A 13,019-nucleotide genomic window follows, 5' to 3' on the forward strand; every position below is an offset into this window, starting at 1 on the left:
CTGCTCCCCTCCCTGAGAACATAATTTGGAGAATTTGATTAATAACAAAATAACAGTTGGAAAAAACCTTAGAAGTCATTTAGTACCAACATTTCAATTACAGACAAGGTTAAGAAGTAACTTGTTTGGAGGGAAGTACAAAATCATCAGCAGAACTAGAACTGAAACCTGCATCTTCCAACTCCCAAAACATCAGAGAAGATTCAACCATCAGCAGAACAAGCAGAAAGCTGCATGCACAGCCACAAGGCTCACAGCTTAACATTCCCTTCAGGATTTCAACTTCAACAAGCATACAAAACAACACTGTCACTGTAGAAAATCAGCAATTAGGCCGGGCGTGTTGTCACGCCTGTAATCCCAGCACTTTGGGAGGCCAAGGCAGGCAGATCAGGAGGTCAGGAGATCGAGACCATCCTGGCTAACCCGGTGAAACCCCGTCTCTACTAAAAATACAAAAAATTAGCTGGGCGAAGCGGCGAGCGCCTGTAGTCCCAGCTACTCGGGAGGCTGAGGCAGGAGAATGGCGTGAACCCGGGAGGCGGAGCTTGCAGTGAGCCGAGATTGCGCCACTGCACTCCAGCCTGGGTGACAGAGCCAGACTCCGTCTCGGAAAAAAAAAAAAAAATCAGCAACTAGATGTTCTTTAAATAACTAGTTTCTAAGGGAAGCATAAAGGCTGTATTCGTTTATCTTCCTATGAACACAAATTATTATCTACAGTAATACGTGCTGACTAGATTGCAAGCTCCATGAATGCAGGGACTGTGACTACACAATCTAGTACACAAAAAGTGTTGAAGACAGAGAACAAGACAAAGTCCATGCCCTCTCGGTGCTTAAATATTTTCAGAAAAGCTAATAATAAGCACTTATTATGAGCCAGACACGTTCTAAGTCCTTTCCAAAGATGGGTACTATTAATATCCCCCTTGTGCAGATGAAGGCACAGAAATATTAAGTAACTTGCTAAAGTCACAACTAGATCTTTCCTCAAATTTCTTTTCTTTTCTTTTTTTTTTTTGAGACAGAGTTTTGCTCTTGTTGCCCAGGTTGGAGTGCAATGCCATGATCTTGGCTCACTGCAACCTCTGCTTCCCGGGTTCAAGCGATTCTCCTGTCTCAGCCTCCCAAGTAGCTAGGATTACAGGCATGCGTTACCACGCCTGGCTAATTTTGTATTTTTAGTAGAGACTGGGTTTCTCCATGTTGGTCAGGCTGGTCTCGAACTCCCGACCTCAGGTGATCTGCCCGCCTCGGCCTCCCAAAGTGCTGGGATTACAGGCGTGAGCCACCGCGCCCGGCCCATTCCTCAAATTTCTAAGAATAAAAGTTCTGCCGTGGATAAACAGTATCACAAATTATTTTTTTGAGATGGTGTCTTGCTCTTTAGCCCAGGGTGGAGTGCAGTGGTGTGATCTCAGCTCACTGCAACCTCTGCCTCCCAGGTTCAAGCAATTCTCCTGCCTCAGCCACCCAAGGAGCTGAGATTATAGGCGTGCACCACGACACTCAGCTAAGTTTTGTATTTATAGTACAGATGGGGTTTCAGCACGTTGGCTAGCTTGGTCTCGAACTCCAGATCGCAGGTGATCTGCCCACCTTGGCCTCCCAAAGTGCTAGGATTACAGGCGCGAGCCACTGCGCCCGGCCCAACATATTCCTTTATAATTAAATCACAGTATTTTTTTTTTATGTTTTAACACTATTGTCCACCTCCCCCCAACATACATGCCCCTGACACTTAATTCTCTCTACTCTAAAAATGTCAAATCAAGGTAAAATGCTATGATTTTTAAAAAACTACACCTAAATTGTACAGCATTTCATTTGACCAACAAGTATTACTGCTCACAGTAACGATGCCTAAGATGTTCACAATTTAATCACACTTTTACACAGTTGTACATTATGATTATAAACATTTCATGTTTCAAAATCCAAATATTAAGTATAAAAACGATCTCACTATAAAATAATTTGCCATACTGCTACAGTTGTTTGTTTTTTAAATTCTTAAATCTCTGGAGACCTTCCACACAGAGCAATACTGTACATATTACCTCCGAACTAAGTTGAAACAGCTTTCTGATATCAACAGCAACTCTTATTCAGACAATCAAGAACAGAATGGGCATCAGGCAGAGAGCCTAATCAAATACACCTGACTTTCTATATGAACTACTTAAGAATAAATCTAGTGAAAGAAGTGCAAGACCTCTAATAATCTTTTTAAAGCAAACTTAAATAAATACACAAGTTTATGAACTGGCACACTAAATTCCAAAGATGTCAATTCTCCCCAAACCCATTTACTAATTCAATATAATCACAAGCCCAGTAAGTTTGTGAGAGAGAGCAAGAGAAAGAAATGACAAATTATTCTAAAACTTTTTATACACAACATTAAAGAACCAGGGATAACCAAGATAATCTTGAGAGAGAGAGAGGAAAAAGGAGGTTGAAAGAATTACACTACCAGATATTAAGACTTACTGTAAAGCTTATTAAGACAAGTACTGGCAGAAGGACAGAACAGTGAAACAAAATAGAGCACTGCAGATACTTAAAGGTAGCTCTGAACAGCAGCAAATATGGATTTTTCTTTTCCAATAAATAGGGCCGAGTCAGCTGAATATCTACATGAAAAAAATAAATCTTAACTCCTACTTGTACACCATACACAAAAATAAGTTCCAAGTGATTGGAGATCTAAATATGAAAGGTAAAACAATAAAGCCACTAAAAGATAACACAGGAGATTATCTTCATGACCTTGGAATAAAGATCTCTTAAGGCAACAGCACAAATGCTAGAGGAAAAGATATATAAATTAGGCTACTTTAAAGTTAATAACTTTTCTTCATTAAAAGAAGCCATTTAAGAGTGAAATGGCAGACCACAAAATGTCAGATATTTGCAATACATATATCTAACAATGGACTCACATTCAAAATATATATGAAGAACTCCTACAAATAAATAACCCAACATAAAAATAGGCAAGGGGCCTTGAACAGGCACTTTATAATAAAAAGGTTATAAAAATGGCAATACATAGATGAAAAAAAAATGCTCGATCTCATTTGCCATCAGGGAAATGCTAATTAAAGCCAAAACAAATTACTACATACCCACAAGAATGACTACAATGTAAAAGAGGTAATACCAAATATTGGGGAGAAGGTGAAGTAACTTTGCCCATCAACAGCAGGATGGATAAATTGTGGTATATTCATTCAATGGAATACTACTTGGCTATGAAATGAACAAACTATCTACAATCTCACAAACGTAATGTTAAGCAGAAGAAGCCAGGAGTACATACTACATGATTCCTTTGATATGAAATTCTAGAACAGGCAAAACTCATTCATAGTGATTGTTCAGAAAAAGAGTTAACACAGCAGACCTCAGGCTGCTGTCCTTAGAAAGGCCTGTTTGTTAAGGACCTTGGGCTGGTATCCGGGAACTTGGTTGGTAAACAGTTCCATACACAGAAATAAAATTTTTCCTAACTGATAATGCAGCTCAATGTGCCTAGACTGCTTGTGCAAACAAGCACACCTGCTGAACACCTGCCATCCCTTCTGGGAATTTGGAATTTTATTATATGCCAGGCAGAGGCTGCCTATGTGATCAGGACCCAGTAAAAACCTCGGACACTACGTCTCTAACGGTCTTCTCTCCACAGAAACACGGCACGTGTTGCCACATTTCCACCACTGGGGAAAAACGGGCTCTGGGTGACCCCCTCATGGGAAAGACGGAGCATAGGGAAGCCTATACATGGATTCCTTCAGACTGTGCCTGTCTTTTTCCCTCATGATCCAGATGTGTATCCTTACTACAATGCAATAAATCTTCACTGTGAGTACAACCATATACTGAGTCCTGCAAGCCCTTCTAGTGAATCTTTAAATATGGGGTGGTCTGGCTCCGCCTCAACACAGTGATGGAATAGCAGATACATTTGGGGAGGGTAACAACTGGGAGTGGGCACAAAAGAGGCTACTGAGGTGCTGCTAATGTTCTATATCTCAAACAATAATAAAGCTTCCATTCATTCTCCCTCTTCCCCCCAAAACCTAACTAATCCAAGGTATGTGAAGTCACAGTGGCTACCACTGGGGAGAATGGGATAATGGCTGGGAGAACCATGAAGCAGAGGAAGTTTGGGACGCTAGTGATACTCTATTTTTTAAAAATCCCGGTGAAATTTTCATGGATATGTTACTCTGAAAATCCAACATGATGTACAGTTATCATTTGTGATCTTCTGTGCATATGTTTTTTGGGGTTTTTTTTTGAGAGAGAGGATCTCACTCTGTTGCACAGGCTGGAGTGCAGTGGTGCAATCTCGGCTCACTGCAGCCTCCATCTCCTGGGTTCAAGCGATTCTCCCACCTCAGTCTCCCATGTAGCTGGGACTACAGGCACACGCCACCATGCCTGGCTAACTTTTTGTATTTTTTGTAGAGACGGGGTTTCACCATGTTCCCCAGGTTAGTCTGAAACGCCTGGGTGAAGTGATCGTCCTGCCTCGGCCTCCCAAGGTGCTAGGATTACAGGCATGAGCCACCGCACGTAGCTCTTCTATGTATACGTTTTTACATGAATAAAATTATAAAAATTATATATGACCGGGAGGCTGAGGTAGGAGAATCACTTGAATCCGGGAGGTGGAGGTTGCAGTAGGCCAAGATCGCACCACTGCACTCCAGCCTGGCAAGAGAGCGAGACTCCGTCTCAAAAAAAAAGAAAAAAAAAAAAAATATATATATATATGACCACAATAAGTGTTTTCACATGTGTATTCATATGTGTATTATGAATATGTATATATATTTATATACATACATACCCACTTACATACTCGTCTCAAATTTTTACCAATGCCTCCCCTTTCCCAGCTCTCCCTGTCATTGTTCTGTTCCCTGTACTCCAGATTTTGTAGACTTTTCCCTTAGCACAGTGGAATGACTCCCCAAATCCATCTGCTTCTCTCCATCAATAACACCCTGGTCCAAGCTACCATAATTTTTTACCTGGTCTACTAGTATCTCTTCCAAACTGGTCATCTGCCCTTCTCTAACCCCTTCTCCGTGCTGCAGAGCATTTTTTAAAGCCAATTTGAGAATGTCTCTCCCATGCTTAAGCTTTTAGTGGCTTCTCATTACTCTCAGGATAAACAACTGTGTTCACTTCTATCCTGGGGCCTTCCCTGCGCTGTTTACTCAGCCTACTACACTCTTCTTGCTGCTTTTTATACACTTCCTATGCACAGTTAACTATGACTCAGCCTTCAGATCTTAGCGCAAATGTCATTTCTTGAGGGAAAGTTTTCCTGACTCACATGTGTACATATATGTGGGTGTATGTGTATGAATATGTATGCACACAGAAAACTCCAGGCATTTAAGACTTTCCACCTCTCCATGTATAATATCTCAACTCCCTACATTTATCTTACTATATTATTCCCACAGTGTAAACATGCCCTAATGTCTCCCATCTTTAAAACTCTCTTAATCCTGATCCTCTTTATAGCAAAACTTGTTAAAGCATCCATTTGGACTGCATCCACTTATCTTGTTGTACTGTCTCCTTAATCAATGCCAAGGAGGCTCCTACTCTATCCCTTTTCCACTGAAACTGCTCAAGAAAATTACTAACGACCCTATCCTGCCAAATCCAACGGTCACTTTCCTGTACAGATTTTATTTCATTTTTAACTTTTCTTTTTTTTTTTTTTTTTTTTTGGTGGAGTCTTGCTCTTGTCGCTCAGGCTGGAGTGCAGTGGCACAATCTTGGCTCCCTGCAACCTCTGCCTCCTGGGTTCAAGCTACTCTACTGCCTCAGCCTCCTGAGTAGCTGGGATTACAGGCACCCCCCACCATGCCCGGTTAATTTTTGTACTTTTAGTAGAGATGGGGTTTCGCTATGTTGGCCAGGCTGGTCTCGAACCCCTGACCAGGTGATCCACCCGCCTCGGCCTCCCAAAGTGCTGGGATTACAGGCGTGAGCCATCGTGCCTGGCCTATCTTTTATTTCATTTTTAAAGTAATGAGAAGAGGTGTCATTATGTTGCCCAGGTGGGTCTCAAACTCCCGGGCTCAAGCGATCCTCCCGCCTAAACCTCACAAAGTGCTGGGATTACAGGCGTGAGCCACTGCGTGCAGCCACTTTCTGTACACACCTTAAACACCTTCAGCACTAGTCAACCATCACTGATTACTTCTTTGTTTTGTTTTTGATGTTTTTCCCTCATTGGTTTCTTACTAATGCAGCATTTCTAAAAGTGTATTCCAAGGAATCCTGTTCAAAGAATTGCTTCTAAAAAAAAAAAAGAGAGAGAGAGACAGGGCCTCAATCTGTCGCCCAGGCTGTAGCACACTGGTGCAATCATAGCTCATTCTAAGTTCAAACTCCTGGGTTTAAGCCATCCTCCTGCCTCAGCCTCTCAAAGTGCTGGGATTACAGGCCTGAGTGACTATGCCCAGTCAGAACTGTTACATTTAAAAAAAAAAAAAAAAAAGGGACCGGGCATGGTGGCTCATAATACCAGCACTTTGAGAGGCCAAGGCAAGAGGATCACTTGAGGCTAGGAGTTCAAGACCAGCCTGGACAATATAGGGAGACCTTGTCTCTATAAAAAATTAAAAAATTAGTCAAGTGTGGTGGCGTGCGCCTATGGTCCCCAGCTACTTGGGAGGCAGAGATGGGAGGATTGTTTGAGCCTGGGAGATGGAGACTGCAGTGAGCAATGATTGTGCTCCTGCACTCCAGCCTGGGTGACAGAATAAGAACCTGTCTCCAAAAAAAAAACAGGGTTCCACGGTCAAAAAAGTTCGGGTAATACCTATTTTATCCTGTCCTACCTGCTCTTAAGGTTTTAGACATTTCTGCAGGGCCTTTAAAAAAGTTAGCTAACCTCTCTGTACCTACTTTGGTCATCTGTAAAGCAAGGACTACCTCAAAATTTACTGCAAGGGTAACATGAAATAATGTATATATAACAGAGAAGTATATAACAGAGCAGTGCCTGTCACAAAGAATACACTACGTAAGTACTGTTCCAGCCTGGGCAACATGGCGAAACCCTGTCTCTACAAAAAATATAAAAATTAGCCAGGCATGGTGGTATGTACCTGCAGTCCCAGCTACTTGGGAGGATAAGGCAGGAGAATTACTTGAGCGCAGGAGGCAGAGGTTGCAATGACTGGAGATCGTGTCATTGCACTTTAGCCTGGGTGACAGTGAGACACTGTCTCAAAAAAAAAAAAAAAAGGAAAAAGAAGTACTATTATTACAACTCACCCCATTGTTTGGAAGATTAAATGAGTTGATATGAAAGTACTTCAGGCTGGGCGTGGTGTCTCACATCTGCAATCCTAAGACTTTGGGAGGCTGAACAAGGGGGGAATGCTTCAGCTCAGGAGTCCAAGACCAGCCTGGGCAACATGGTGAGACCCTGTCTCTAAAAAAAATTTTTTTCAAAAATTAGCCGGGGGTTGTGATGGGCACCTATAGTCCCAGGTATTTGGGTGGCTGAGGCTGGAAGATTGCTTGAGCCCAGGTGGTTGAGGCTGCAGTGAGCCATGCTCCTGCCACTGCACTCCAGCCTGAGTGACAGAGTAAGACCCCTCAAAAAAAAAAAAAGTTTGAAATTTGCTGCTCACATTTTAGAGCAGCAATTCTCAAACTTCATAGTCCCAGGATTCCTTTGCACTATTACATTATTGAGGACTCCAAAGATCTTTTATGTGGATTTTACCTAACAACATTTATCAGAAAAATTTTAAAAATATTTATTAATTCATTAAAATACCAACCTTATGTTAACACAAATAACGTTTTAATAAAAAATTGCATTTTCCAAAACAAAAATATTTAGTGAGAAAAATGACACTTCTTCATTTTTGCAAATCTCTTTAACGTCCAGCTTAACAGAAGACAGCTAGATTCTCACATCTGCTTCTGTATTTAATCTATTGCTATATGTTGTTTTGGTTGAAATATATGAAGAAAATCTAGCCTCATAACGATATGCAGTTAAAAAGGTTATTACAATACTCCTCTTTTTTCCATATAATTGTGAATTCTCCACAAGTGGTAGTTTCTTCAAGATTAGTTGAAATGTGACATCTGAGACCAGACCAATGAGCTTTTTCATGCCCTAGTACATAAAAAATCCCATAGTCTATCTTGCACTTTTATCCATGTATGTCTCTGTAAAACCATAAATTGGTCATTTGGAAAATATTAGTTCAGTGAGTTATACATACCATATAAATGTTAATGCAATTCATTATACAAAAAAAAAAAAAAACACATCAGTATCATCAGTGATCTCACCAGAAAAGTCTTTAAGTATTAGAGAGCTGTCAAGCTCACAGTGGCACATAAATTTTCCAAAATTCTAATTTTCAACTTGAATGCTCAAATTATCAGTTGTTCTCCTTGAAGTGGCAGGCTTGTTTATTTCTGAGAAAATGTCTACTGAACACTCAGATCTGAATAATATTTAGAAAATTCTAGAAAACACAACACAAAATTTATCAAAGCAATGATGCCATCATGTTATGTAGCAACCCAAAAATTCCACTGTCCACTCCTGAGAGACCAAATATGAAAAATGCAAATAATATCAGTGTTATTATGAAAATAGTTCTGACATTGTGGACTCCCTGAAAGGATCTTGGGGATTGCTATGGTCTGAATGTCTGCATCCCCTCAAAATTCATATTGAAACAATCCCCAGTGCAGTGGTGTTGGGAGGTGGGGCATCTGGGAGATGACTTAGGTCATGACGGGGAAGCCTTATTTGCCCCTTCCGCCATGTGAGAACACAACAAGAAGGCACCATCTAAGAAGCCAAGAGTGAGCCCTCACCAGATGCCAAATCTGCTGGTGACTTTATCTTGGACTTCCCAGCTTCCAGAACTATGAGAAATAAATTTCTGTTGTTTAAAAATCACCTAGTCTAAGGTATTTTGTTATAACAGCCCAAACAGGCACCCTCACGAGTCCCCAGAAAACCACTGTTTTACATTTCACAAAGTAGAGCACACCAGCTCTCAATCAGCCTTCATTAAATTGCCAGAAGAACCTTGGAAGCCCTCACCCATCTTGGGTGAGTTAGTACTAGCTGCCTGAGGAGGAAGAAGAGAGCTTCAACGCCCATCTCACTCTAATCAGAGCAATTCATTAGCTCTACCTGTACCATCTCCTGGTTTAGGAAGAGCTCCACTGTGAGCTGCCTCACAGTGGCAAGCCTTGGCATTAGGCAAGCCACCCTGGGGCAATCAAGACTTAGGCTTTTTTTTTTTTTTTTTACTTAAACCGTGTCACTGACCTAAGCTGGGTTGATTATTTCACTTTTTTAAAAAAGAAGCATATTAATGCCACGTTTTCTAAAACAATAAGAACTATTATGGTATGTGATTCCACACCATACACTTTATTAATTACACTCTTGAAGTTTAAATTATTTCTAAATAGCTGTTTCTAAAAGCATGCATGGAATTTATAACTGATGACTGGGAAATGTACTGTTTTAATAGCATTAAATATATTCATCTTTATTGTTTGTTAACAATGTTAGCATTTGAAGACTAGACTGGCAATGTCACCTTTTATCAACCTTCCCTACAACCTGTTTATAGAAGAAAAGGTGGGGGGGGGGTGGGTTAGAACTAATAACCCTAAAAATACTGTTATTAATTCAATAACACCTCTGGAAACTACTTCTTTGTTATAAATAACACTGGGCACAGTGAAATGGAAACTATCAAATACAGTAGAACTTAAAATCATGTAGTACGAGGAGGTTTGATTTGGATAAAAAGACCTTGAACATATTAAGTTAAACAAGCCAGACATAAAAGGAGAAATATTGTATGATTCCACCAATATGAGGAATCTAGAACAGGCAAATTTATAAAGACCGAAAGTGGATTCGAGGTTACCAAAGGCTGGAAGGGCAGGGGAATGGGAGGTTATTGCCTAATGGTTACAGTTTTTGTTTGGGATAAATGAAAAAGTTTTGAAAATAGTGGAGAAGGTTGCACAACACTGTGAATGTAATTAACGCCACTGAATTGCACACTTAAAGGTTAAATTAGCAAATTCTGTTGTATTTTACCAAAATTTTAAAAATTAATGTATATACCCCAAATCGTACACTTTACATGGGTGAATTATATGTGAATTGCATCTCAATAAACATCTTTTTAAAAAGAAATTCATGATTTGGTCTTGAAGCATTCAAAGGAGTCTAACGTTGAAAAGGGCAGAGACTTCGTGTGATCCTGGGAACAAAACTAGGACCTCCAAGGCCTCAATTACAGGAGGCAGATGTCCACTCAATACAAGGAAGAAACAACAGCCAAAGCGTCCAGAATCATCACGTGTCTTCTCACAAAGGGGAGGACTATCATTAGAGGTGTTTTAGCAAGGGCAAAGATGCCCATCTGTCAGGAATGCACAGGGCCTATAAAGGCCCATAAACATCTTTGTCTTCGAATGCTAAATTGTGTCTATGTTTTTTTTGTTTTTTTTTTTTTTTCAGGTAAGAGTCCTTATGCTAGATTCTCAAAAGGGATAATAACCCTAAAAATGATAAAAGTCACTATTATTGAGAAAATTCCAGTATTTCAAGTGAGATTTCACTAGATCTAAACACTTCTTTCAAATCTGAAACTGTAAACCCCTATAGACTATACTCCCCTTAAGGAGTGTAGTCAAAACAGGATTCACTACATATTAATACAAATGACCTGTGGTCCAGAACTGACTAGGGGTGCCCTCATTATGGAAGTGAAATAAACCTGTAAGAATGTCTTTGGGCTAAAATTTGGGTAAAAGGAAGATAACGCATAATGGGGCAAGGCCAAGTCAGACTAAGATGCTCCTCTCCTCTGTTCCCAACTGCTACTCCTCACTGTACTGAGCGAGTTCTTTCCCATGTCTCGGAACTTAAAACACTGGGAATGCCCCAGGACTCAATCCTCAGATCTGTTCTTTGCTCACTCCTTAGATAACCTTAACCCGTACCACGGTTTTAAATACCCTCTATAAACTGAGAACACCCATATTTACAATTTCCGGTTTGAAAGTCTCTGAATTTCAGACTTGTATATCCTATTCTCTCTTCAAGACATCTATTTTCTTTGAGGTGAAATTCTCATAACATAAAACTAACCATTTTAAAGTAAAAAACTAATGGCAATTAACACATTCATCATGTTCTGCAACCATCACCACTACCTAATTCTAAAACATTTTCATCACCTCAAAAGGAAACCTTGTAACCATTAATCAGTTGCTCCCCACTCTCCCTTTCGCCCAGCCCCAGGCAACCACTGATATGCTTTCTATCTCTATGGATTTACTTATTCTGGATATTTAATATAATAGAATCATACAACATATAAGCTTTTGTATCTGACTTCTTTCACTTAGCATAATGTTTCTGAGGTTCACCCATACTGTAGTATGTACTGGCACTTCATTCCTTTTCATGGCTAATATTTCATTGTATTGATATACATTTTGTTTATCCATTCAAGCACTGATAAACGTGGCTTGTTTCTACCTTTTGACTATTGCGAATAGTGCTGCTATGAATGTGTGTACATTTGGTTTTTTTGAATATCAGTTTGCAATTCTTTGGATATACGCCTAGGAATGGAATTGCTGGGACACACAGTAATTCTACATCTAACTGCCACTTGTGGTTTTGATTTGAACTTCTCTAATAACGAGTGATGCTCAGCATCTTTTCATGTGCTTTTTAGCCATTTATATCTTCTGTTTAAAGAAAGAAGTCCTTTGCCTATTTTAAAATTGGGTTGTCTTTTTGTTGCTGAATTGTAAGAGTTCTTTATATATTCTGGATACTGGACCCAGATCAAATGTATTATTTGCAAGTACCTTCTTCCATTCTTTTCACTTTCTTGGTAATGTTCTTTGATACACAAAAGTTTAATTTTGATGAAGTCCAATTAGTCTATTTTTCTTTTTACTGCATGTATTTTGGTGTCATATCTAAGAATGTGGTGCCAGCCAAGCACGGTGGCTTACACCTGTAATCCCAGCACTTTGGGAGGCCAAGGCGGGCAGATCACCTGAGATCAGGAGTTCGAGACCAGCCTGGCCAACATGGCGAAACCCCGTCTTGACTAAAAAAAAATACAAAAATTAGCCAGGCATGGTGGCGGATGCCTGCAATCCCAGCTACCTGGGAGGCTGAGTGAGTAGAATAGTTTGTGAACATCGGTGGCAGAGGTTGCAGTGAGCTGAGACTGTGCCACTGCACTGCAGCCTGGGCAACAGAGTGAGACTCTCAAAAAAAACAAAAAACAAACAAGAATGTGCTGCCAAATCTAAAGTCATGAAGATTTATCTGTATTTTTTTCCTAAAAGTTTAATGACATAGCTCTTATATTTAGGCCTTTGATCTCAATAAAAGTATAGGCCATTTGGAGTTCATTTCTGTATATGGTATGAAGAAAGACATCTATTCTTTTTTTTTTTTCATCTATTCTTTCTTTCTTGAGACGGAGTCTTGTTCTGTCACCCTGACTGGAGTGCAGTGGCACGATCTCGGCTCACTGCAACCTCTGCCTCCTGGGTTCAAGCGATTCTCACGTCTTGGCCTCCTGAGTAGCTGGACAGGCACGCACCACTGGGCTCAGCTAATTTTTGTATTTTTTAATAGAGACAGGGTTTCCCTATGTTGGCCAGGCTGGTCTCGAACTCCTGACCTCAAGTGATCCGCCTGCTTAGGCCTCCCAAAGTGCTGGGATTACAGGTGTGAGCCACCATGCCCGGCCTAGACATCTATTCTTGAATGTCTATCAGGTCTCTCAAACCCAAACTTCTAGTATTCCTCTACCAAACCTGCTCTTCCCAGTCTTCCCTATCTCAGCAAATGCTCACGTTAAAAATCTTGAAGTCGGCTGGGCGCGGTGGCTCAGAGCCTGTTCTAGCACTTTGGGAGACCGACACAGGAG

At 40.4% G+C, this 13,019-nt stretch overlaps 1 protein-coding gene across 2 annotated transcripts in view, besides 2 other annotated features; it reads right to left on the reverse strand.

Annotated features, from left to right (window-relative positions):
- The window catches only part of THAP12 (THAP domain containing 12), a 31,177-nt gene that overhangs the window by 16,114 nt on the left and 2,044 nt on the right, over positions 1–13,019 (reverse strand). The gene's annotated exons all lie outside the window — the stretch shown is intronic.
- Positions 18–519: an enhancer, noted in NCBI's record as "H3K4me1 hESC enhancer chr11:76077131-76077632 (GRCh37/hg19 assembly coordinates)". NCBI's record gives its function as "activates a minimal SCP1, AML or CMV promoter by ChIP-STARR-seq in naive H9 embryonic stem cells {active_cell/tissue: H9 hESC(naive)}" and the evidence as "EXISTENCE:reporter gene assay evidence [ECO:0000049][PMID:30033119]".
- Positions 5,264–5,373: a silencer, noted in NCBI's record as "silent region_3781". NCBI's record gives its function as "represses an Ori minimal core promoter by ATAC-STARR-seq in GM12878 lymphoblastoid cells {active_cell/tissue: GM12878}" and the evidence as "EXISTENCE:reporter gene assay evidence [ECO:0000049][PMID:35858748]".

Source organism: Homo sapiens, chromosome 11 (genome assembly GCF_000001405.40).
Source record: "Homo sapiens chromosome 11, GRCh38.p14 Primary Assembly".
Lineage (NCBI taxonomy): Eukaryota > Metazoa > Chordata > Mammalia > Primates > Hominidae > Homo > Homo sapiens.